Source organism: Homo sapiens, chromosome 4 (genome assembly GCF_000001405.40).
Source record: "Homo sapiens chromosome 4, GRCh38.p14 Primary Assembly".
Classification (NCBI taxonomy): Eukaryota; Metazoa; Chordata; class Mammalia; order Primates; family Hominidae; genus Homo; species Homo sapiens.
This window is the reverse complement of record NC_000004.12, coordinates 89,053,268-89,080,584: the sequence shown is the minus strand read 5'-3', so window position 1 is coordinate 89,080,584 and position 27,317 is coordinate 89,053,268. Positions and strand designations below refer to the sequence as shown.

Below are 27,317 nucleotides of genomic sequence, written 5' to 3'. Positions count from 1 at the left end.
ACAAGAAACCCCCTTGGTGGATAGACATTTCTTATTGTTACTTAAGGATGTGGTAGTCCAGAAAATCCCTGGAGAAGTGTTCCTTGGAATATCCGTACATACTTTCTGGAGGTCTTCCTCTCGTGAACTGGATGATTTGCGTTGGAATTATAGGTGGAGGAATAAAGCCTGATTGCCAAGGTGAAAATATATGTGGAGGATGGTGAACCATCTTCCCAGTGAAGACACATAAAGGACCATATCTGAATGTTGTTGAATGCTCTATTTGGAAAAGTTCCTGGTGACATCATGGACTTTGGTTTATGTTCTAGTGATATTATTGTACTTATAAAGTTAGAGTTTCATCTAAGTCTGAATATTTAGTTTTTTCTTCTATTAGTTCTTGTTTTTTAAAGGTATTTCATCACCAAGTACAGAGTTGGACCCATTTAACTTTTCACCATTTGCCTCCCTTTTTGCTGTTCTTGATCACTCCTTACAAAGGTGGGCATCTCTTGATTCTAGGTCATCCTGCTCTCTTTTAAGGTGGCTAAACTTAAAGAATTTTACATTTCAAATACTTTGGTAAATTGTATATCTGTGTGTTTTCTCTCTTTCTCTATATAGTTGGTATTGAGTGTAAATTTCTGCCCACAAATTAGAGAACTAACAAAATCCAAGGATCACTGACTATGTCATCACCTGCCAAGAAAATCTGACGTGATGAGGGCTGAAATTCAAGTTTTCAGCTCCTGTGATCTTATATAGCTTTTTAAGGAGATGCTAAAGCATGATGATGAAGCCGACCACAGTCCCTTTATGACCCCACAGTTCATTGTTGAGCTGTCTCTGTTTGCCATTGTCCCACAAAACAACAACAAACAGAACACCACAGCTCTGCTCAGAATCAAATCTGCTTCCACATATGTACCATTTCCAGCATTCTTCCTTCATTTGTGCAGATCCATTCTTTCATCTGCTATTACTTCCCTTCACACAAAAAACTTCTTTTTGCATTTCACTAGTGTGAATTTACTGGTGACATATTTACTTTGCTTTTACTTATCTGACATGTTTTTAAATTTTACCTGGATTGTTTGAAGAATATTTTCCCTGGATGTATAATTCTATAATTCTAGTTTTGTAAGCCCCCTTCCTTCAAAGCACTTTATATATATATATATATTAATCCATGGTTTTCTGGTCTCCATTATTTCTCATAAGAGAGTTTTTGTTCTTGTTGTTGTTCCACTAAAACTAACTATCTTTCTCCAGTTGTTTTTAAGGTTTTCTCTTTAACTTTCTGTGATGGTTAATTTTGTATGTCTATTTGACTTGGCTAAGGGATGCCCAGATAGCTGGGAAAACATCATTTTTGTGTGTGTCTGTGAGAATATTTCTGGAAGAGATTAGCATTTGAATCAGTAGTCTGAGTAAGAAGATATATCTTCACAGCTGTGAGCAAACATGTAATCTGTTGAGGAACTGACTAGAACAAAAAGGTGGAAGAAGGGTAAATTCACTTTCTCTGCTTGAACTGGGACATTCATCTTCTGTCCTTGGACTTCTGTGCTCCTGGTTCTCAGGCTTTCGGACTCAGACTGGGACTTACACCACTTGTTTTCAGGCCTTCAGGTTTGGACTTGAACAGAACCACCAGATTTCCTGGACCTGCAGCTTATAGATGGCATATTGTAGGACTTATCAGCCTCTATAACCACATGAGCCAATTCCTCATAATGAATCTCTTTTGACATATCTCTCTATATATCCTATTGGTTCTGTTTCTCTGGAGAACCCTGACTAATACACTTTTATTTTTAGAAGTTCATTGAAAACTTGTGCACTTTTCTTTATCCTGAAGTATGCAGGGCCAAAGTTAACATTTTGTTATCAGCTTTGAAAAATGTTAGTCCTTATTTTCATTTTTTTTTTAGCCTAGTTCTCTCTTATAGCTCTCTCTGTGACTCTGATTAGACTACTTGATCTTATCTTCCAGGTTACTGACATTCTTTCTTTCTTTCTTTCTTTCTTTAAGGTATTTTGATCTTTCTGCCTCCATTTAGAAAATTTCTACCGATATATCCTCAGGTTCACTGAGCCATTCTTCTGCAGTGTCCAATCTGCTATTAAGCTTTCCAATGAAGTTTTGATTTTTGAAATTTCATTTTTTAGTTCTAGGATTTTTTCATTTGGTTCTTTTCTTAAAAAAAATTCTATTTATTTCATGAAATATATTAATACTGCCTTACTACTTATATCCATCTTTTCCTGTAAATTCTTTAAAATATCTTATAATAATGTTCTTAAAGTCCTTGTGTGCATATTCTATAACTGGGCTTACTTATATTGATTACATTTTTTCTCGATTATATTTTTGATTATTTTGTTCTTGATTATTGTGGTTTTTTTCCTAACATGAATGCTTAAATAGCACAGGCCTCAGCCCTTAACAGCTTGAGTTCAGTGTCAGCCCCAGACATGTTGTCTGTGGTATTCAGATCTGCCTATTTAGATAGAAGTCTTGATGTCTCACATCTTAGGATCCTGGGGAGGGGAGGACTCCTTCTGACACCTGGCAACAGTCTTTGCTGCTACTTCATTTGGCCTCAACTCTCCCACAGCAGTTTTAAGAGTGAAAGGAGACACTATTAATAATTACATTGAGTCAACAAGCAAAAATGGGAACTTTCTAAGACAGACTGAATTATTAGTTATTACTCCAGTGTTCTGGACAACAAACTTAGACTCATTTTTCAAGCTTCTCTTTCCTTGACTAGCATGGCATCTGTTTGTCTCATACACAAAGTCAGTTATCAGTCTTATGAGTTCTTACTTCAAAATACATGTGATTTATCCTGATTAAGGGAGGAGGCCACCCCTCATATTGTCTTATGCCCAATTTCTGCCTCCAAAGAAAGAAGAAGTAAAAACTAAAAGGCAGAAATGAAATCCACAGGCAGACAGCCCGGCACCTGGTAGTTAAAGATCGACCCCTGACCTAACTGGTTATGTTATCTATAGATTCCAGACATTGTATGGAAAAGCACTGTGAAAATCCCTGTCCTGTTCTGTTCCAATCTGATTATCGGTGCATGCAGACCCCAATCACGTACCCCCCTGCTTGCTCAATCTATCATGACCCTCTCACACGGACCCCCTTAGAGTTGTGAGCCCTTAAAAGGTACAAGAATTGCTCACTTGGGGAGCTTGGCTCTTGTGACAGGAGTCTTGCCGATGCTCCCGGACGAATAAACCTCTTCCTTCTTTAACTTGGTGTCTGAGGATTTTTGTCTGCTGCTCGTCCTGCTACATGACAATCTAAATTCAAATCATCTTGTCAGCTGAATTATTAATAGGGTCCATTTATCTGTAATAAGTCTCCTTCTCATTGTAGCATATTCCAGACTTCCAGATTAACTGGCATTACTTTCATTGAGGTACTCATTCTATTTAAGAACCTACCATGGTTCCCAATTGTTTATGAGATCCAGCCTAGATTTCTTATTCTGATATTTCAAGCCCTTTCTTTTCATGTTCATGTCTATCTCTGTGCTCATCATACAAAACCATACTGGAATGCCCTCTCCCGCTTCTGCCATCCTGTCTTAGTCCACTTTATGCTGCTGTAACCGACTGGGTAATTTATAAAGAAGAGAAATGTATTTCCTCACTGTTCTGGAGGCTGGGAAGTCCAAGATCAAGGGTCTGGCATCTTGCAAGGACCTTCTTGCTGCATCATCCCATGGGGGAATGTAGAAGGCAAGGACCGTGAGAAAGAGAGAGAGAAGGGGACCAAACTCATCCCCTTTATAAGAAACCAACTCCCATGATAACAAACTCATCTCATGACAATAGCATTAATCCATTTATGAGGGCAGAGTGCTCATTGCCTAATCACCTCTCATTAGGATCCACGTCTTAATACTGTTGCTTTGGGGATTATATTTCAACACATGCTTTTGGGGGGACACTTTCAAACCATAGCACATCCTAATCTATAACTTCCTTATAAGTCAGTGCAACACCTACTTTCTTGTAGCTCTAGCTACTTTCACTTCCATCTATTACATTTTTTCTGAATTAGAATTCACAAGTACTAAGAGCACAAATTCTAAAATTGATTATACAACTTAGTATATTGTATTTGCTAATTGAAGGATTAAAACCTAAGTGCCTGCAGGGGGCATGAGGTAATCATAAACTGTGAAGCCGGCAGAGTGAAGAACAATAGGTATTAAGTGTTGATTGCTACCAATAGTAATTTCCACTTAGGTATATGAACTTTTAAATCACGATGCAGGTGAGACAAAATGGCCAAACAGAATGCCTCCCCAGGGCTTGCAACTTGTGTCCTAAATTTTTAGCCATATACTTTGCAGCTCAAGTAATACACCATTTCCTGTACATTTCCTGTACTCCATTTAGCCATAATTCCTAGAATGGTAATGAGTACATAATGTACTTATAAAATGAAAAAATTGAATTATAGCTTTAGCAAACCTATGGGGAAAATAATGAAAACTGTTTTCAAAAGAAAATGCAGCTGTTCCCTTGTTTACCAGACCTGAGGTTTGGGTGATCATCACAGATATAGTGCTTCCAATTCCTAAGTCAACTCCCTTGCCCATTTTTTTAGGGGGCTGAATTCTGATGCTTATATGGAGACTGGTATAGTGGATCTGCTTTGGCTACCAGAGGAAGATAGGGAACAGTATTGAGCAGAATGACCTCAACAAATGTCATATCAAACATTATGATTGTGGGGTAGATAGGGCTGGAAGAAGGAGTACTAGTAAGGCAAGCTAGTGAAGAAGTAATAGAAATGCAGGCCAAACAGTGGAGCTTAAATAATGGCCCATGGAATTGGGATGTCTAAACTATGGATTGTGTCAAAGAATGATGAGACCAATATTCAGTACCTGAAATAAAAAGAGAAAGCGAATTTATGGACTATTGTAGTAAGGGAAAGCCATGCTGGTCAGGCAGGCTTTTCTGAGTATAGTAGAGTATTGATCCCATACAGCAGTCCCGTCTTGTCTGTGAGGGATATGTTTCAAGACTCCCAGTGGATGCCTGAAACCGCAGATAGTACTGAACCCCATATATACTGTTTTCCCTATACTTACTAACTTGTGATAAACTTTAATTTATAAATTAGGCACAGTAAGAGATTAACAATAACTAATAATAGAACAATTATAACAATGTGTTATAATAAAAGTTACACAAATATGGTCTCTCTCTCTCTTTCTGTAAATATCTTATTATATTGTACTTACCTATTTCAGACCACAGTTGATTGCAGATAAGTGAAACTGTGGATTGGGGGTACTACTGTATAGGGTTTTTGGCAAGTGTGGAAATTAGGATTGGTGGATTTTCAGGTGTTTGAGCAAATGCCTGAATGGATTGAGATCATCTGAAGGAGAGTAGTCACTCAAGTGAGATGGCTGTTGATTGGCTGGCACTCAGGGACATGTTTATCAGACCACCCTTTTTTATGTTTTTTTTGGTGCTCCAAGTGAGGCATGAAGTGAACGCATTCTTGGTTGGCCAGAGTGAGGGGTTGTCACTGATTGGTGGGCTTGCAAAAGTGAGTTTATTGAGGCAAATTGCCAGTTGATTGAACACATTTATAATTAGTTATGCTCTGTTTTCATAACTACAGAATAATTGATTTTTTCCTAAGAGTGTGAGGTTCCCCCACTGCCCCGCAACATAGGATGGGAATACCTGTAGAATTCATAACAGAGATTGGTCATCAGATTGTGAACTGACCTTTTTCAGGGAAATCTTTCAAAAAATGTGGAGAAAGAAAGAATAGGCCCAACTTCAGGTAATAGGGCTTTTGTAACACAGTAGATTAACAAACCCAAGACCTATTTCCTGCTATTTTCCAAACAACCTAAGTGTATAGACTAGTACCTCTATGTGAATATGAGGACTCTTATGCCCTCTAATGTTCTTGAATAGCCTAGATCAAGAGTTGGCAAACTTTCTCTATAAGCAGTCAGACAGTAAATATTTTAGGCTTTGCGGGCCATGGGCTCCATCTCTGTTGCAGCTGCTCAACTCTGCCATTGTAGGTGCCAAAGCAGACATACACTTACATAAACATGTGGGTGTGGCTGGATTTGGCTCACAGGCTGTAGTGTGCTGACCCTGGCCTAGAAAGTAATCTTTCAGATGTATCTACTTTCAAGATTGGAAAACCAAAATATCAACTTCCTGACTGGTCCAAAGAGAGTACATCACTATTAAATATTTGCTGACTGACTTCCATCCTGTCAGGTGGGATACTGCTGACTCTGGTCCAAGCTGGTATACTCAGTGAGAAAGAGCTGGGATGGGGCCATAGTTGGGGCTCAGAGTGGCTGAGTTTGGAGGAAAAATCCTCCAACTCCCTGTTTCCAATGTGGCTTAGGGTGGTTCGTGCTGTTGCTACCATACCCACCTCTGCACCTCCCATGATGCTTTCTGATCCCTACTACACGGCTGACAGTACTGTCTCTGTAGGCCACTGCTCTTCTGAAAACCATTATTTCTACTCCAGCTGAAGAGATTTTGTCCTTTGAAGACTGATAGCTCTGTTAGCTAATACCATAAAGCCTGGCTTTGAAGCATTTTTCACTATTTTGGAGGCTAGAGACTAGCCTGGCTCTTTTAGCTTCCTCCATTAAGAGGCATTCCCCAGTTGTCCCAGGTCAGAGGCTGGTTTCAGTGACAGTGTCCTTGGGACCTGACCCTCAATTACAAAGTCACCTTGACTCCCTCTTCCGGGGTATTCAGGGAAGATCTTGAAAACTGGACATCCTTTGTCTTGCTGCAGTATTTCAGAATTTCCAGGAGTAGTTATGAAATTAGCTCACCATAGTGGGCTAGTCAGAAAAGCACTTTTTAAAATTCCTGTATCCTTTCTGGAGAAAAAGTAGTAACTCATATCAGCAAATGTCTTGGCTGTGGCTTCTATATCTTAAAGTTCTTTGTAAATCAACACTCAGGACTCAATATTAAGTATATGACACCTAAGAGACCTTTCTGGGCTTAATTGAGCTCTAACATCATTTGTGTACATTTTGGGGTCAGGAAAAAATATTTCAGACTCTGATTTCAGATATATTCCATGGAAAAACAAACATTATTTGAAGTGCACAGTGTCTTTTAGTTAGTGCTTTTTGTTCAATGGCCTATTCAGGGTGTTTTTTCTTTTTTAAGGTTTTGATGGGTTTTATTTAACAGGACCTAAAACAATGTTGTCATGGGGACAAAAATCTCTTTTTAAATTGCTTATTGAAACATTAGTCATGTGAGTTCACAAAGATATGATAAAAATTTTATCACAATACTGTTTAGTTAGAAAAGCACTGGACTGTGTCTCCCCCAGATTCCCAGTGCACATTCCCTTTGACATGTTGACATTTCTGAAACCCAGCAGCTGAACTTGCTTTGACAATTGGCCAAGCAGATGGTGCTCTCAACCTTAGTCCCAGCACCTGTTTCCCTAGATTCCATCCAGCCTGTAAACTCAGTTCCAATGTCACCTGCCACATTCCAGATGGGACCAGGTTGTATGTTCTCGAACTTCTTTGTTCTCTAGTCTCTAACCCTCTGAATCTCCCAAGGGACACTGTGTGGTCTCACCACTTCATTGCCCCTTCTATGAGCATTGTGGGGTAGAGCAGAGAGTGGTCATCCTCAGGGGCCATCCCAATGCTAGTTTCTTGAGATGCCAGATTCCAGGCTGTGAGGTCAACTAGATGCCTGTAGAATACTGGAGTGACATGGAGCAGCTGCTGCTGTTGGGGAAAGCGGATTCCTACCTCATGGTCCACTCCCACACACCCCAGCAAAGCAGTGGCCACATGCAGAGGGTGTCCTGATCGATTGTTAGTTCACAGACATCCATGTCCTTTGAGAAAAGGAGATGACAGTCCTTTGGCAAGAATCTTCGACCTACCCCTCATCCAGGAAGGGTGCCTATGGGGGTGTTCAGCTAAGAGAACAAGATCGAGGAGATTCCCTTCCCCTGCGGTGCCTCTGCCCAGCCTCACCTACTCCACTCAATTTCTTTACAAGGAATTGCAGGAAAGCCTGGAAGTATAGACAATGTAGCCTTAGGAAATTCCATTCAGGTGGTGCTATTCCTGCAGAAGTTCTTTATTGTTTTTACTGTGCTGCTGGTACTTTATTCATCACCTCCGCCAATCCCTGGTGGGAGTACTTGCTTGCACTCCTAGCACACTCAGGCAGTGGATAGCTCACTTAACCTTTGTTGAAAGAATACTAGGTCAGGCGCGGTGGCTCACGCCTGTAGTCTCAGCACTTTGGGAGGCCCATGCAGGTGGATCACCTGAGGTCAGGAGTTCAAGACCAGCCTGGCCAAAATGGCGAAACTCCTTGTCTACTGAAAATACAAAAAAATAGCTGGCCGTGGTGGTGGGCACCTGTAATCCCAGCTACTTGGGAGGCTGCAGGAGAATCACTTGAACCCGGGAGGTGGAGGTTGCAGTGAGCCAAGATCTCACCATGCACTCCAGCCTGGGTGACAAGAGTGAAACTCCGAATCAAAAAAAAAAAAAAAAAGAAAGAATATTTTATTTTTGCAAGTGAAGTCTAGTCATCACAGAGAATAATAATTACAAATAAAAATTTGGTAGGCACAGGACTAATTTTACTTTATAATGGTATAAGAAGTTATGAAAATTAAGACTTGATTTTTTAAATCCTAATATCAGCCTTAGGAAATAATATAATAGTTAAAATAATTTGTATATACCTATTATAAATAACAGAAATATATTAGAAATAAAATGTATGTATACTTATGAGAAACAATGACAAGATGTGTAACTTTTGTGGTATGATCTGCTGACACCAAATGTGTGGAGTTTTTTCTCCACACCAACCAATTCTCCAATACCAGCTGGGTGTTCTAGAATTCAGTTCAATTCTGGCACTATCTGGAGTGAGTATCATAATCTCACAAGCTAAGGGCTCAGTCCCGTGAGACTGCTCCCGCTTCAGATGTCCCACAAGACTCCTACAAAGCTTCCTGTACTTCTCAGCCACAAATGGGGATTCTTGCAAGTCTCTGCTTGTGTTTGTTAATTTTCTACAATGGATCACGTAACTCAGGAAGAGTTTACTTAAGTTAGTGGTTATAAAGGATACAGAAAGAGATGCATAGGGCAAGGACTGTAGGGTGGGGGTGCAGAGCATGCCAGACACACCACTCTCCCAGCACCACCATGTGTTCACCAACCTGGAAGGTCTCCCAGCTCCATTATTTCAGGGGTTTTATGGAGGTTTCAGTATGCAGGCTTGGTTGATTAAATCACTGACCATTGGTGATTGACTGAATCTCCAGCCTCTTTTCCCTCCCTGGGTGTCAGGGGTGGGGCTGAAAGGTTCAATCCTCTAATCATGCCTTCAAGCTATCCTGAAGCCATCCTGTACCAGCCCCCATCCTGAAGCTATAGGGGCCCCCAACCACTAGTCATCTCTTTAGCATAAAAAATATACTCATCACTCCAGAGATTCCAGGGGTCTTCAAAGATCTTGTGGTAGGAACCATAGACTAATACCAAATATTTTAACAAAAGATTCTCCTATCACCTTGTCACTCAGAAAATTCTAAGGGTTTTAGGAGCTCTGTGCCAGAAATCGGGAGTGAAGACTTAATACATATTTCTTATTATATCACAATATCACATGCTCTAACTTGTTCTACCTTTACTGAATGTTTCTGAAATTTATCATGAAGAATTTATTGGAAAGAAAAGCATAAAATTTTGAAAAATATGGATAAGAGAGGGCTATTTTTATCAGATATTTAAGTGATATTTAATGATATACTTATTCAAATATGATGATAGTGAGACTAGAAGAAAGAAAAACAGATAAAATATATTAGCTTGAAAAAGACCCTGGTATGTGCATGTGTAGGCATTGTGTTTGTATATGAATTTCATATGTAGTTTCAATAATATGAAATAACTGGAAAATGGGAAATTTGCTCAACAAATTGGGCTCTATCATTTTGTTAGTATATTAGCCAAATATACTAACCACTATACATATACACACAATAGCATATATGAGAGTTTTATCTTTTTCTCATGTAAGAGTCTAGTTGGTCTGGGATTGCAAGGCAGCTGTACTTCATAAGGTTGTTCAAGGATCTAGATTCCTTCCGTTTAATTACTCTGTCATCCCCTGGGACATTGTCCTTCTTCTCAGTGATTGAAGCTAGGTTTCTAGCCCACCTGCATTGCAGCTTGTGATAAAAGGGAAAGAGAAGAAATGTGTAGTAAGGGGGTTTTCTGTTAAGCATGTGACACAAAAGTTGCAAATACTTATGCATTCACATTCTGCTAATGAGTACATGATTACGTGACCATATCTATCTACATGAAAGGTCAAGAAATTTAGTCTGTAACTGGACAACAATGGGCTCAGCCACAGCTAACAGGGAGAACAGGATCCAATAGTATCAGAAAGATTGGGTTCTGAAGATTGTTAGCACATCTGGGTTGTGGTAGTTAGATGAAAAGTAAAAAAATCAGTTTAGATCCTCATATTTTACTGTATTTCAAAATAAATTCCAAATAGATATATAATCAAACCATGTAATAAGCATCCAAAAATGTTAGTTTTTATTACCATTTTCCAGGTACTATACTAAGTGCTTTTTATGGACTGTATTATTTAATCCATGCAGTGACCCTATGTTAAAAGAAAAACTTTAAACATATTAAATTTGAGCTTAATCGAGCAAGAAAAAAGAAACAAAAATGATTCATACTGAAATAGCCTCCAGAATCTAAACAGATTGAGACTTCAGGGCTGCTGCATGGTCGATAAGATTTGTGAACAGGAAAAGGAAAGTGGTTAAGTTAGTGCTTATAAAGGATACAGAAAGAGATGCATAGGGCAAGGACTGTAAGGTGGGGGTGCAGAGCATGCCAGACACACAGAAAACAGAAGTGAGGTACAGAAACAGCAGGATTGGTTACAGCTCAGCATTTTCCTTATTTTAACTTGTTTTGAACAGTTGACTACCTGTGACTTGTTGAGGTATGGCTGCTGGGATTGGCTGAGACCATTGTGCCTGTAGTACCTTATTTAACTACTCCATAACTTAACCCAGTAGAATGAGTTTCCCTATCACTGGAGATGTCCTCAGGGATATCACATAAAGGAAATACATTTTCTTTCTTTTTTTTTTCTTTTTTTTTTTTTTTTGAGACAGAGTCTTGCTCTGTTGCCCAGGTTGGAGTGCAGTGATGTGATCTTGGCTCACTGCAAACCTCCACCTCCTGGGTTCAAGTGATTCTCCCACCTCAGCCTCCTGAGTAGCTGGGATTACAGGCGTGTGCCACCACGCCTGGCTAATTTTTGCATTTTTAGTAGAGACGGGGTTTCACCATGTTGATCAGGCTGGTCTCCAACTCCTGACCTCATGATCCACCTGCCTCAGCCTCCCAAAGTGCTAGGATTACAGGCATAAGCCACTGCACCTGGCCAGGAAATACATTTTCTAATAATTTCTTTGCTATTGTGACAGCAGCAGCTTTTCTACTTGGGAAAGCCTCTACCCAATTAGAAAACATACAGACTATTACAAGAAAGTACTGATACCAGTGAGGGTGGCAACTGAATGAAGTCCATCTGGAAATGTTGAAATGATCCATCAGTGGTGGAAATATGCCACCTGAAGTCTCAATTGTTTTCCCTGGATTATGAGTTTGACAACCCAAACATAGGTTGTAAACTATTTTAGCAATTTGGGAAGTCATGCCAATTGTGTCTATTCCATAATGAGTTATAGAGTACAGAACTTTTAACAATGGAAGCTTCAAAGACTTAGGAAGGCCCTCTGTGAGTCTACCCTTAACATAAAATTTATATCCAGTTAGATACCAATTTTGTTTTTCCAAATCAGATTAATTGTAGTGTTTATTAAATAGGTCATCATAAGAGAGTAGACTTGGATCAATCTTACGGAGTTTTTCAAATTACATATTCTAACAGTTTCATCACTACCTGATTTAGCATAAAAATCTGCTAGGACATTCCTTGATATTTAGGTGCAGTTTTACAAGTATGGGCTTTTATCTTAATGGCAATCTTTAATAGTAACAGGATAGCAGAAAGGAGTTTATCTAGTTGGAGTCTGTTTTTGATGGGGTTTCCACAAGAAGTGAGAAGCTTTTAGTGTTTCCATAATGTGCCCAAATCATGTACTACTTCAAAAGCATATCTACTATCTGCATAAGTATTTACTGACTTGTCTTTAGCTATACAACAAACTCTGGAGAGAGCAAAAAGCTCCACAGGTTGAGCTGACTTAAATTGAGGAAGAGTTTCCTTCTCTGTTAGCTCATTTTGCTTCGTAAGGACATAGCCTGCCTGATATTTTCCTTCTGAGTTTTCGGCATGGGACCCCTGAACAAAAAGTATTAGTGCAGGATTATCCAACAGAGTGTTTTAATCAATGCGATGGGCCACTATTTCTGATGCTACACGTAATGTATTTGTGACCTTCACCATCATCAGGCAGAGAGAATAGAATAGCAGGATTAAGTAGACTATAGCATTTTAGATGGAGATTGGAAGGAGATAGGAGAATTTCATGTTAGTTTAATTGCTGAAAAATGCTGAGTTTGGTTGGAATTTAATAGATTTTCCACAGCATGTGGGACTTGCAAATTATCTTCATTCCCTGAAATCAGCTCAGATTAAGCTTCTACCAACATAGCTGCTGCTGCTACTGCTTTTAAGCAATTAGGCTATGCTTTAGCTACTGAGTTTAGTTGCAGGCTATAATAGGCAGTGGGCCTATTTTGCCTTCATGTTCTTAGGTAAGAACTCCTAATGCCTGATTGTTATGTTCATGGACAAACAAGGTAAAATATTTAGTATAATTAGGAAGTCCTAAAGCTAGGGGCTGTTTTAAGGCCAATTTCATTTGGCTAAAAGCCTACCCATGACTATTTTCCCAAAGGCTCTGGTATTGCCTTTCTAATGAGCTCACACAATGATGATGCCATTAAGGAACAATTTGTGACCCAGCAATATCCTGCAAGACCAAGAAAATCTCTTAATTGTCTTTTGGTTGCAGGCTAAGAAAAACTTTGAGTAGTTTTTATTCTCTCAGCAAGAAAGAAATCCTTTTAGCATCAAGTCATGTCCCAAATAGTGAACGTTTTCTTCTGAACACTGGTTTTTTCACTGAAACTTTGTGACCTTTATGTTAGTTGCTGTAAAAAGTAAATTGAGTCAATTTCAGAGATCTTTAGTGGGAGATTATAACAACAGGTCATCTACATACTGAATAAGAGGAGTATTTCAGGAAACTATAGGGTTATAAAGTCCTGATGCAATGCCTGGGAAAAATATGAAGAGGCTTCAATAAACCCATTACAGTCTGGGTGTACTGCTGATTTTTCCAATGAAAGCAAACAAGTGTCGACTCTATGAATTGGAATGCTAAAGAAGGCTGAATAGAGGTCTATTATTGTCAACCACTTTGAATCAGCAAGGGCATTAGATAATAAAAGTATTAGGATTTGGGACTACAGGAAACCTTAGTATTACAATTTTATTAATTTCCTGTCAATCTTGAACAAATCTCTGACCTCATTCATTGATTTTTTTAAGTGGTAGAATTTGAGTGTCACAAGGACTGGTACACAGAATTGTAAGTCTTTGTTTAATTAAATCTTCTACAGTTGGTGAGGGCCCTTGAATTGCTTCAGATTTTAGTGGATATTGGGGTAATTTAGGCCAAGGTTTAGAATGATCTACTTGAACTTTTATAAGTTCCACACTTTTAATCCTCCCTATATCAGTTGAGGAAGAGACCCATAAACATTCAGGTATTTTAAATAGGTCAGGGGTATTATAAGCCTGAATTTCAAACTTACCAATTTCTAGCTGTAGTGAGCATAATATTTCTGGTTCAGGAGAGTCCAGAAATTCTAACATTAGTCTCCCTCTGAGGAGAATTTTTTTTTTTTTGTGACGGAGCTTTGCTCTTGTTGCCTAGGCTGGAGTGCAATGGTGTGATCTTGGCTCACTGCAACCTCCACCTCCCAGGTTCAAGCTATTCTCCTGCCTCAGCCTCCCAAGTAGCTGGGATTACGCATGCACCACCATGCCAGGCTAATTTTGTATTTTTAGTAGAGATAGGATTTCTCCATGTTGATCAGGCTGGTCTTGAACTCCCAACCACAGGTGATCCTCCCACCTTGGCCTCCCAAAGTGCTGGGATTACAGGTGTGAGCCACTGCACCTGGCCGAGAATTTTTTTTTTAATTGAGACAAGGTCTTGCAATATTGCCCAGGCTGATCTTGAAGTCCTGAGCTCGAGTAATCCTTCCACTTCACCCTCCTGAAGTGCTGGGATTACAGGCATCAGCCACCATACCCAGCCAGAGGAGAATTTTATATGCTCTTTTGGCTTTGAAATTAAGTCTTGCCCTAGCAAGTTTTCTGGAGCATTATCACATGGTAAAATATATGTTTTTTTTTAAATGACCCTAAAGTCAATTGGACAGGTTCAGATATGGGAACTTCTTGAGCTTGATTCGAAACTCCAGCACAGAAATGACCTTCTTATTCTGAGGGATTTGTTCATGTATTAAAGTGGGATTTATGGTAGATAAGGTGGCTCTAGTATCCACCAGGATTGTACAAGACTCTCCACTTATTTTAACTTGTTTCTTTATGTTTATTTAAGAGTATTATTAGGAACAGTTTGCTGGAGAATACCTTAGAACCTCTTACGTGTTGATTATCATCATAAGAGTTAAAATCTCTTGGGCTCTCTCTCGTGGTCTAAAAGGAGGCTTATTGGTGGACTGATATAAAACCCAACCATCTCTTTTCCAGTGTACAAGGTGGAGACACCTTGGGGTAAAGAATTTCTTGTTGTAGGACCTCCTGATTGTGATTTAAAATAAAAATGTGAAAGTCCCTTTAGTCTTGGTAACTGTTGTAATTGGAGTGACATAGGCTTGTTAGCTTTTTGGGTTTTTTCTTTCTCTAGAGTCCTCTCAAAATGTTCAGCTAAGGCCAACCATTTAGTCATATCTGTAATTTCCCATCCTAGTTTATGTTTTTTAATTAAACTACTAAGTTTAGGACAGAGTGCATTTATAAATACAACAGTTAATGCTGTTTCAGTCCCTGCAGGAAATACTCATTGTATTTTGAGCCCAGAGTGTTTCACAAATAGTGTTTCTAAGTGAATTCTGTAATCTGAAACTGGGTCATCCTTTTTGCCTGAAAGATTGTGTGATGAACCAATCAATTTTTTGTGGAAGAATCTTATGAATTGAATTTAAATGGTTTTCAGCAATTTTTCTAGCTCATTTTGGCCCTCTCCATGAGGAGGTTTTGGAGGAGTCTTTAATACCTTCCTCGCATTTGTCCCATTCTGCCTCTATGATTCATTTTCACACTTCGTAAAGCCCTAATATCATGTGAGTAAACTGGCAAAGATGAGGGAGTCCTGGATCATAAGCTCCTATGAGGATTCCACATTCCTTAGTAAAGTTTTGAGGATTTTCCCTTAGATCAAGGAAGTCCTTTACCATGACTCTAAGCTTAGACCATGAGTAAAGGTTATGGCAGAAAGGCCTGGCTGATCAGAGGGCCTTGCTTTGTACGGAGTCTAACTTCTCTTATCACCATCTTCAGGGTGAAAGGGTAATTTAGCAAAGAGGTTAGTGGACACTCAGAGTATTTAGGTAGAGTTGGATAAAGAGAGGGAACAGTTGGGGTTAGTTTATGCAGAGTATAGTCCTCTTTCATCTGTTACTTAAGCTTATTTGTTTTTTGCAAAGAATATTTTAAGGAGGCAGTTTTAAATTTATTTAGTCTTGTAGATGCTCTGCATACCAATTAAATAATACATCCCATTGTTTTTGTGGGTTTTTCATTTTTTTCCTAATATACATTTCAAATAAATAATTTTATCCCAATTAAAACTTCCCCACTGTGGCCATCTTAATTTTAAGTTGTCTCTAGTAAGGTTAGCCCGTTTTTCTGAAAATGGTTAAGGTATGGCTGCTGGGATTGGCTGAGACCCAGCTATGAGATCCAGCTATTGTTACAGAAGCATACTCCTAAGTTAGGTTTTCAGCTTGTTTGCCTATAAAGTTAGGTTGTGGTTTATTCATAAGAACTCCAGTTTGTGAGTCTGGAGGCTTTCTGAGGCCAAATTTAGTTTGACTTAACATCCTATAAAAGAGACTGTGATGAGATTCCAGTTGATAAGTGGGAAAAAAATGAAAACAGTTCACAGAACAGAAAATATAAATGGCTAATGAGGATTTTTTATATCGTTAATTTCACTGAAAAGAAAAATGAATGTAAGTTTAAAATTGAGAAACCATTTTCACTTACTGAATAGTTTAAAATATTAGGAAATATTTTATAAAATATTCATTCTTGGGTAGGGTAGCTTGTAGAATAGAAACTGCCAGAGCCAGTGCATGTCAGGAGCACTGGCCTAGCCCACATTCATGTTCTTTGTATTCCAGAAATTTCACTTTCAGGAATCTTTACAAGAAAAGAATCAGAGCAAGGACAAAGCATTACTTACTGTCACACACAGATAAAATCAGAAACTATGTAAATGTCTAAAAATGGGAGAATGACTAAAGAAACTGTTGTGTGTACAAAAAGTAATACCACTTCTGATTTAATTTGCTTATAGTGTTAGTAACATGGGAGCATGCGTGCCTCTGATACAATTTTAAGTGAAAAAAATTAGGATATAAAATTATCATAAATTAGATCTGCATTATGTTTTTTAACAAGCATAGAAAATATATTGGAAGTAGATATGTTAATTTTTGCAGCAGCCAGCACTGAGACTCACAACAGCCTAACATGCTAAGCTCCCTGGGCCAGGGAAGGGTGACACTCATTTCTATAGCTTGAGGCTGCACTTTTCCCCTGCTAGGGCCAGGGAGGCTGGACAGCTTGGTCCCACGACTTGTCCCCACAGCCCAACAAGCCAGCTGTGGCAGTCGGCAGCTAGAGTGCCTCTTCAGGTCTAACCCTGACCCATCCTTCCTCAGTGGGCAGGTCTTCCCTGCAGGATCTCCAATAACTCCAGCCAGAGGCTGAGGGACAGAATTTGGATCTCCCGGGGCCCAAGCCCATAGTGGGAGGGGTGGCCACAGTCTCTGTGGACCAGCAGACTTAGCCTCTACTCCTGGTAGTTCTGAGGAATCCAGGCAGCCCAGACAAGTGGGTTTTGCCCCAGCAAAATACAACCTCTCCACCAAGGGACAAAGTGCTTCATTAAACGGTTCCTGCTCCCCATGCCACCCAACTGGGTGAGACCCTCCAACAGGGGTTGTCAAACATCCTATACGGGATCAATCCTACTGGCATCAGGTTGGTGCCCCTTGAGGTCAGAGGTCCCAGAAGAAGGAGCAAGTACCCATCTTTGCTGCTCTCCAGCCTCCTTGAGTGACATCTCCAGGCATGGGAGTGAATCCGATGAATAAGGCCTGAAGCAAACCCCCAGCAAACTGCAGCAGCCCTACAGAAGAGGGACCTGACTACTGAAAGAAAAACAAGCAGAAAGCAACAACAACAGCATCAACAACAACAAAAAGGCCCCACAAAAACCCCATCCAAGGGTCAGCAGCCTCAAAGACTGAAACTAGACAAACTCACAATGATAAGAAAGAATGAACAAAAAAATGCTGAAAACCCAAAAGGCCAGAGTGCCTCTTCTCCTCCAGATGATCACGTCTCTCCGTCAAGGGTGCAGAACTGGATAGAGGATGAGACGGACAAATTGACAGAAGTAGGCTTCAGAAGATGAGTAATAAAAAACTATGGTGAGGTAAAGGAGCGTGTTCTAACCCAATGCAAAGAAGCTAAGAACCTCGATAAAAGGTTACAGGAATTGGTAATTAGAATAACCAGTTTAGAGAGGAACATAAATGACCTAATGGAGCTGAAAAAAACAGCATGAGTACTTCGTAAAGCATACATAACTATCAACAGCTGAATTGACCAAGTGGAAGAAAGGATATCAGAGTTTGAAGACTACCTTGCTGAAATAAGATATGCAGACAAGAGTAGGGAAAAAATAATGAAACGGAAGGAACAAAGCCTCCAAGAAATATGGGACTTCATGGAAAGACTGAACCTACAATTGATTTGAGTACCAGAAGGAGAAGGGGAGAATGGAAACAAGCTGGAAAACACAATTGAGGATATTATCCAGGAGAACTTCCCCAAGCTAGCAAGACAGGCCAACATGCAAATTCAGGAAATACATAGAACACCACTAAGACACTCCATGAGAAGAGCAACCCCAAGACACACGATCATCAGATTCTCGAAGGTCAAAGTGAAGGAAAAACTGTTAAGGGCACCCAGAGTGAAAGGCCAGTTTACCTACAAAAGGAAGCCCATGAGACTAACAGCAGAACTCTCAGCAGAAACTCTACAAGCTAGAAGAGATTGGGGGTCGATATTCAACAATCTTTAAGAAAGAATTTTCAACACAGAATTTCACATCCAGCCAAACTAAGCTTCATAAGCAAAGGAGAAATAAAATCCTTTCCAGACAAGCAAATGCTGAGGGATTTTGTTACCACCAGGCCTGCCCTTCAAGAGCTCCTGAAAGAAGCACTAAATATGGAAAGGAAAAACCAGTACCAGCCACTGCAAAAACACACCAAAATATAAAGACCAATGACACTACAAAGAAACTGCATTAACTAGTGTGCAAAATAACCAAATAGCACCATGATGACAGGATCAAATTCACACATAACAATACTAATCTTAAATGTAAATGGGCTAAATGCCCCCATTACAAGACATAGACTGGCAAATTGGGTAAGGAGTCAAGACCCATCAGTGTGCTGTATTCAAGAGACCCATCTTACATGCAAAGACACACACAGGCTCAAAATAAAGGAATGGAGGAAAATTTGCCAAGCAAATGCAAAGAAAAAAAAAAAAAAAAAAAAAAAAAAAAAACCAGGGGTGGCAATCCTAGTCTCTGACTAAACAGACTTTAAACCAACAAAGATAAAAAAGACAAGGAAGGGCATTACATATTGGTAAAGGGAACAATTCAACAAGAAGAGCTAACTATTCTGAATATATATGCACCCAATACAGGAGCACCCAGATTCAGAAAACAAGTTCTTAGAGACCTACAAAGAGACTTAGACTCCCACACAATAGTAGTGGAAGACTTTAACATCTCACTATCAGTATTAGACAGATCAAAGAGACAGAAAACTAACAAGGATATTCAGGATTTGAACTCAGCTCTGGATCAAGTGGACCTAGTAGATGTCTACAGAACTCTCTACCCCAAATAAACAGACTATAAATTGTTCTCAGTGCCACATGGCAATTATTCTAAAATTTACCATGTAATTGGAAGTAAAACACTCCTCAGCAAATGTAAAAGAACTGAAATCATAAACAGTCTCTCAGTGCAATCAAATTAGAACTCAGGATTAATAAACTCACTCAAAACCACACAATTTCATGGAAATTGAACAGCCTGCTCCTGAATGACTTCTGGGTAAATAATGAAATTAAGGCAGAAATTCAAAGAAGTTCTTTGAAACCAATGAGAACAAAGAACGTACCAAAATATCTGGGACACAGCTAAAGCAGTGTTAAGAGGGAAATTTATAGCACTAAATGCCCACATCAGAAAGCTACAAAGATCTCAAATTGACACCCTAACATCACAAAAGAGTTAGAGGCAAGAGGAAACTAATCCAAAAGCTAGCATAAGACAAGAAATAACTAAGATCAGAGAAGAATTGAAGGAGATAGAGACACAAAAAACCCTCCAAAAAAATAAATCCAGAAGATTGGTTTTTTTTGAAAAAATTAACAAAATAGATAGACTGCTGGCTAGACTAATAAAGAAGAAAACAGAGAAGGAAGAATCAAATAGACCCAATAAAAAAATGATAAAAGGGATATCACCACTGATCCTACAGAAATACAAACTACCATCAGAGAATACTACAAACACCTCTATGCAAACAAACTAGAAAATTTAGAAGAAATGATTAAACTCCTGGATGCATACACCTTACCAAGACTGAACCAGGAAGAAGTTGAATCCCTGCATAGACCAATAACAAGCCTGAAACTGATGTAGTAATTAATAGCTTACCAACCAAAAAAGCCCAGGACCAGATGGATTCACAGCTGAATTCTACCAGAAATACAAAGAGGAGCTGGTACCATTCCTTCTGAAACTATTCTAAACAATTTAGAAGGAGGGACTCCTCCTTAACTCATTTTATGAAGCCAGCATCATCCTGGTACCCAAACTGGGAAGAAACACAACAACCACAAAAAAACTTCAGGCCAATACCATAGATGAACATTGATGTGAAAAATCCTCAGTAAAATACTGGCAAACTGAAACCAGCAGCACATCAAAAAACTTATCCACCATGATCAAGTCGGCTTCATCTCTGGGATGCAAGGCTGGTTCAACATACACAAATCAATAAATATAATCCATCACATAAACAGAACCAAAGACAAAAACCACATGATTATCTCAACAGATGCAGAAAAGGCCTTTGATAAAATTCAACATCCCTTCATGTTAAAAACTCTCAATAAACTAGTTATTGATGGAACAGATCTCAAAATAATAAAAGCTATTTATGAGAGATCCACAGCCAATATCATATTGAATGGGCAAAAGCTGGAAGCATTCCCTTTGAAAACTGGTACAAGACAAGGATGCCCTCTCTCACCACTTGTATTCAACATAGTATTGGAAGTTCTGGCCAAGGCAATCAAACAAGAGAAAGAAATAAAGGGTATTCAAATAGGAAGAGAAGAAATCAAGTTATCTCTGTTTGCAGACGACTTGATTTTATATTTAGGAAGCCCCATCATCTCAGCCCCAAAACTTCTTGAACTGATAAGGAACTTCAGCAAGGTCTCAGGATACAAAATCAATGTATAAAAATCACAAGCATTCATTTACACCAACAATAGGCAAGCAGAGAGGCAAATCATGAATGAACTCCCATTCACAATCGCTACAAAGAGAATAAAATACATAGGTATACAGCTATCAAGGGATGTGAAGGACCTCTTCAAGGAGAACTACAAACCACTGCTCAAGGATATAAGAGAGAACACAAACAAATGGAAAAACATTCTATCCTCGTGGATAGGAAGAATCATGATCATGAAAATGGCCCTACTGCCCAAAGTAATCTATAGATTCAATGCTATTCCCATCAAACTACCATTGACATTCTTCACAGAATTAGAAAAACTATTTTAAATTTCATCCAGAATCAAAGAAGACCCCATATAGACAAGACAATCCTAAGCAAAAAGAACAAAGCAGGAGGCATCATGCTACCTGACTTCAAACTATACTACAAGGCTACAGTAACCAAAACAGCACAGTACTGGTACCAAAACAGACATACAGACCAATGGAGCAGAACGGAGACCTCAGAAATAACACCACATGTCTACAACAATCTAATCTTCGTCAAATCTGACAAAAAACAAGCAATGGGAAAATGATCTCCCATTCAGTAAATGGTCCTGGGAAAACTGGCTAGTTATATGCAAAAAACTGAAACTGGACCCCTTCCTTAGACCTTATACAAAAATTATCTCAAGATGGATTAAAGACTTAAATGTAAAACCCAAAACTATAAAAACCCTAGAAGAAAACCTAGGCAATACCATTCAGGGCATAGGCATGGGCAGAGACAAAAATGCCAAAAGCAATGGCAACAGAAGCCAAAATTGACAAATGGGATCTAATTAAACTAAAGAGCTTTTGCACAGCAAAAGAAACTATCATCAGAGTGAACAAGCAGCCTACAGAATGGGAGAAAATATTTGCAAACTATGCATCTGACAAAGGTCTCATATCCAGAATCCATAAGGAACTTAAACAAATTTACAGGAAAAAGACAAACTACCCCATCAAAAAGTGGGCAAAGGATATGAACAGACACTTCTCAAAAGAAGACATTTATGTAGCCAACAAACCTATGAAGAAAAGCTCACCATCACTGATCATCAGAGAAATGCAAATCAAAACCACAATGAGATACTATCTCGAGCCAGTTAGAATGGCAATTATTGAGAAGTCAGGAAACAACAGATGCTAGAGAGGATGTGGAGAAATAGGAACGCTTTTACACTGTCCGTGGGAATGTAATTAGTTCAACCATTGTGGAAGACAGTATGGAGATTCCTCAAGGATCTAGAACCAGAAATACCATTTGACCCAGCAGTCCCATTACTGGGTATATACCCAAAGGAGTATAAATCATTCTGCTATAAAGACACATACACACATATGTTTATCGCAGCACTGTTTACAATAGCAAAGACATGGAACCCACTCAAATGCCCATCAATGATAGACTGGATAAAGAAAATGTGGTACATATACACCATGGAATACTATGCAGCCATAATAAGGAACAAGATCATGTCTTTTGCATGGACATGTATGAAGCTAGAAGCCGTCATCCTCAGCAAACTACCACAGGAACAGAAAACCAGACACCACATGTTCTCACTCATAAGTGGGAGTTGAACATTGAGAACACATGGACACAAAGGGGAAACAACACACATCAGGGCCTGTTGGGAGGTTGGGGGTGAGGGGAGAGAACTTAGAGGATGGGTCAATAGGTACAGCAAAAGAAAAAAGAAAAACAAATTGACAGAAAAAATGGTAACAAAAATAAAAATAGGATAGTTTCCTTTTGGCTTACCTGAAGTGGCTATTTTAGCTATTAGTTCAAATATTTGTAAATTTTAAAATCTATCAAATTTTCTAGTGACAGCATGTGGAAGAGAAAGTTATTGAAAAGTCAGTTAGCTAATTTTTCAGACTGCAAATCACATATGTAGAATTATGGTTGTCTAGAAGTATGTTGTTTATGTTTATCATCAGTATATTTTTATAAGACAACTCATACATAATTAGAAGTAGTAACGGCTACATAAAATAGAGCATTTTCATTTAAAACAATTCTGATGGGGTAGCATGGAAGGAAGAAAATTTTGGTAGAATTTAGCTGGTTTCTAAGGAAGAGTAGAAGAGAAAACTGCCTCAGAAAAAATGAATAATGTGCCTGCAGTTTTAAACCTGAGTCTGAATACGTACATTTTGCTTAGAGCTGTGTGGAATCTGGGAAGCAAGTCTGTGTTTTCACTTTATGCACTGTTGGTTCTATTAATGAAAGCCACCAGGTGACTGGCAGTTTTCGGAGTCAAAGAAGCCTGTGTGTAGGATCTAGGGAGTCAGGTTTGAAAAAAAGATGTCAGCGACTTAAGACCCGTGTCACGTGACTCCCTCTACTTGCCAGCACTGAGGCTGTGGATCAAATTTCAACTCCAGGCAGTCCTTCCAGCCATGTGGGTTCAGCGGAAAGAGAAGCAAAACCACTCTTCCTAAAATGTTAGAAGCTGCTCTTCGCTTACCTTGGGGCCTTTGCATTGGGAGCTGTTTTTCACATCAAAGAATATGTGCTGAATGGAATTTTAGTATTTTGCTGTCGTTTTAATATTTTCGTCTGGTCTTCCTCAGTTCTTCCAGACGCTTTCTGAGAGAATGGGGGCAGGAGCTCTAGCCATCTGTGTAAGTATAGGCCTTCTTCTGTCTTCTGTGTTTACTGCCAGTTTTTAGGAGAGGGCCTTGCCTTCCTTGTTTTGATGAGATGTTTGTGTAACTTATTTTTCCTTCCCAGGAGGTGGGGAAAGATTTGTTACTTAAATTCCTATCTACTTAAATGGGTATTAGGCAGGATTTGGGATGGCATTCAGCATATTTGTGCACTTTAGTTTCCAAAAAAGGTGAAAGATGCATGCTGATTTATTCCGTTAAGTCAACTTGATTTAAAGTAGAGCACTTTCAAGCATTTTAGACTTTCTTGTCCCTGAATAGTTAAACATGAATGCTTCATTATAGCTATTAGAGAAATCTTGTGGCTAGCTTGAGGAGGAATTGAAGTAACCATTAATTTATTACTTTTGAGTATGTGTGTGACATTTTTCTGTTTTATATTTCTATTTTCGTTTAGTAATTCTGGAGTTTCTGTTTCAGCATGATTGCTGAAAGTGATGGTGGAGAAGCTCAGTTGATAAATGTTTGTGTATCCTTAAACTGTAGAAATGAATGGTTGTTATAACACAGTAGCATTAATAAATAACACTGAAATAAAATCCTTGGGAAAATGTGCATATTTCTGGAGTTTTAGAATTTTTAGAATTTATGAATTTCTAAATTATTCTGCTGGTGCTTGTACAAAACCTTTTGTAATAATCAAAAATTGTCAATTATATAATTTGCAGAATGCTGTAATTTAAATTTTGATTGTACTATATAGAAAATGCATATATCTGTATGAGAATTACACATATTTATGTTTCAAGTTGCTATTGTATTCCATAGGGACATTTTATTTTCTAGAATGTATTAAATGAGAAATATCTTCTTCCTTATTATCACCTTAACTGCTCACTTAAAAAATCACACTCAGGCCAGATCCTCTTTTTTTGTGTGTGTTTCAGAAAGAGCTGCAATTTGCTGTAGCTTCTGATGGCATTCTGAAGTGTTTAGAAATATCTGAGCAATTTTTGACACACAGACACCAAATGGTCACCAAATGGTCACCAAATGGTAGACCAGCCCTATAGATTAAGTTTTCTTAGTGAAACTGCAGGATGACCTTGTTTCCAGGCTCAAAACTTTTCAGCACCATGTATGTCACTCTGTCTTCCTTTTAACTCTGAGGCTTAGTAGCATCCAGGTATCCATGTGGTTATTCTTTTTTTATCACCCCAAAGAGTTTCCTTCAAAATCTGATTTATCTATGTGTAAAATACTGACTTTTACTTTACTGCAGAGGTGGCCCTTCTATTTTTCTAGCTTTATAAAAGAAACAATACAGAACTGAAAATGTGTAGAATGAGGCAGCAGATAGGTCATGAAGATTGGTAGTCATCTCTGATTGTCTGATTAGATCTTTACTTCTTTCCCTTGACCTGCAATATATTGATCTCTACCTTGACTGGAATGCACACTGACTCATGTATAAAACTTTATATTTTCCCTTAATTTATATCCAAAGCATGTATAAAATTTCAGTTAAAGTTGACATAAAAATCACACAGTGTAAGAGATTATTCACTCTGGTAGATGAGTAATTCTCAATCATTTCTACCCTTCTCCTTAAGGTTGGCCTTTGATTGTGCTGTCTTGGTTTTACTGTAGGAGGAAATACATTTTCAACAGTTGTACCATAGCATATCTGGAAAAAGATAGCTTTTGGAGAACAACAAAAAAAATTTTAAACATCGTGACAAAAAAGGGAGAACTAAGTCACACATTAATACATTCAATGAGCTGATACACTACTTTTTACTTTGTGTAGGAGTGAAGAGAAAGCTTTTCCTCTGCCCTTTCTGCAATTTTATTGAAACAATTGGCAATAGATTAATAGGAGAAAAAGAGTTACAAATTTATTAATATGTATATGGATATGAGAGCCCCTCAAATATGAGATTCAAAGAAGGGCCAGGTGGTTGAAGCTTAAATGCCTTCTTTTTGGGGAAGAGAGAAGTAGGGAGCTGCAGGTAATTTTAGAGAGGTAGTAAATAATTTTTAAAGTGAATGAATGGGTTCAAAGAGCATGGCCTGGGACAGCGTTTCCCTGAGCTATGGTGAGGTGGTGGAAAGGTGAGGGGTGGAATGAAGGTTGTGTTTTTATGCAGATAAAGTCTCCCAGCCAATCTCTTGGAGCTGTCCTCAGAAGAATAGATGAAAAGTCAGTGTGGATATGGTGACAGCTTTTAGTCTCTTTTCTGATGGTTAATTTTTCATGGTTATTTGATGAGATTCTCAGGAAGTAGATCTTAAGACAATTGCATTTCTTTTGGAAAGAAGCTTCCTTAATCAGATAAGGAAATTCCAGAGAGAGTCACTCTCAGTGCTTTAGGAAAGAAAAAGAGAGACTGAGGGAGGGCAGGAGAGTGGAAAGGCAGAGAGAGACCTTGGTTCTGAGGCTTATTTCTGAGACATTTTAATTAAAAATACCCAGCATGCCAAAGCACCATATTTTGGGGTATAGCTTTTTGAACCCCAACATTTAGGACTTACATACTTATACATATATGTAGCAACTACTGAAATATCCTGCTGCTGAAGACATTAATACTTCAGACAGTATAATGAGTACTAGATATCTGTAGTACGTACGTGTGTGTGTGTGTGTGTGTCTGTGTGTATCTTTGTGTGTCTGTATGTGTGTGTGGACTCTTGAAGTGGGACACAAATTGGTTCCAATAAACTCAGTTTCTATGTCCATTGACTAACCTACTTTATCTTCCTCATTTCTTTTCTTTTTTAAACTCTTTGCCATGTTGTTAGTGTTAAGAAATTTTGCTGCTCATGATACTGTTGTAGGCTCAAAAATGTATTGCCAATCATGTGTACAAAGAAAATTTAGCTGCTTTACTGTAACAAATCTATTTTATTTTCAGTAAACCACCTATTCTGAGGTGGTGTAGGGAATTACAGTTGCCAGTTCATGTTATTTTAGTCTCTTCTAATTTTAAATGTCACTTTTGGATGATTCTGTTTCTCTCAGGTGAATCCTGAGTCAGATTTTCTGCTTCTCCTGCTGTTCTATCCAATGTGGCATCAGGATATATTAAAGATTGGTGGGCTGAAAGTGGGAGTTTGCATATTCTAGTGGATGAAGAAGGAGGAGTTGAAATGCATGTGTAGATTCTTATACTCTGGATATTATGATTTCTGGTGAATTTAGGTCTCAAATCTATGACTGGTCAATTTGTGAATTGGTTCTCTTGGTAATATCAGTGCCTAACAGTCCACCCCACCTGATTTGTCCCCAGTTCATGCTGGTGCTGATAATTTCAAGAATGCCCCAGGCCTCGTAGCCTTTCTCTCTAACTTGGGGACCTCTGCTTCTGTAGTCTTACCGCCTGGTACCATCAACTACCTTCCATGTATCCCATAGCGCAAGCAGGAACGTACAGTCGCGTTACAGAAAGGTCATATACCAAATTAAAATATGCCATTCATGGGATTTATTGAATCAACTTAAATCACAGCAAGAAGAAAGAGGAAAAGGATGAGGTTAGGTTTATCTTCTTTGACAGGGCTTAAGTGGGAAGAAAGGACCACACTCCCTGAATTCTGTGTTATTTAACGTTCAAATGTCCTGTTGCTCTTGCCTTCTGTGCCACATCAGCCTTTCCTGATCATGGTAATTATCAGTTCATGG

At 38.7% G+C, this 27,317-nt stretch overlaps 1 protein-coding gene across 9 annotated transcripts in view, besides 1 other annotated feature; it reads left to right on the top strand.

The window, feature by feature from the left end:
• The first annotated feature begins 23,399 nt into the window (after positions 1-23,399).
• FAM13A (family with sequence similarity 13 member A) overlaps positions 23,400-27,317 on the top strand; it is a 331,226-nt gene continuing 327,308 nt past the window's right edge. For 6 of the 9 annotated variants that reach the window (XM_047449482.1, XM_047449480.1, XM_011531517.3 and 3 more), the window contains exon 1: positions 23,400-23,647. In XM_047449482.1, the coding sequence (XP_047305438.1) occupies positions 23,621-23,647 (27 nt within the window). In that variant the 5' untranslated portion in view covers positions 23,400-23,620. The remainder of the gene's footprint in view (positions 23,648-27,317) is intronic. The other 3 variants (XM_047449481.1, XM_047449479.1, XM_011531516.2) reach the window with 1 other exon arrangement.
• Positions 23,537-24,099: an enhancer, noted in NCBI's record as "H3K27ac hESC enhancer chr4:89977637-89978199 (GRCh37/hg19 assembly coordinates)". NCBI's record gives its function as "activates a minimal SCP1, AML or CMV promoter by ChIP-STARR-seq in naive H9 embryonic stem cells {active_cell/tissue: H9 hESC(naive)}" and the evidence as "EXISTENCE:reporter gene assay evidence [ECO:0000049][PMID:30033119]".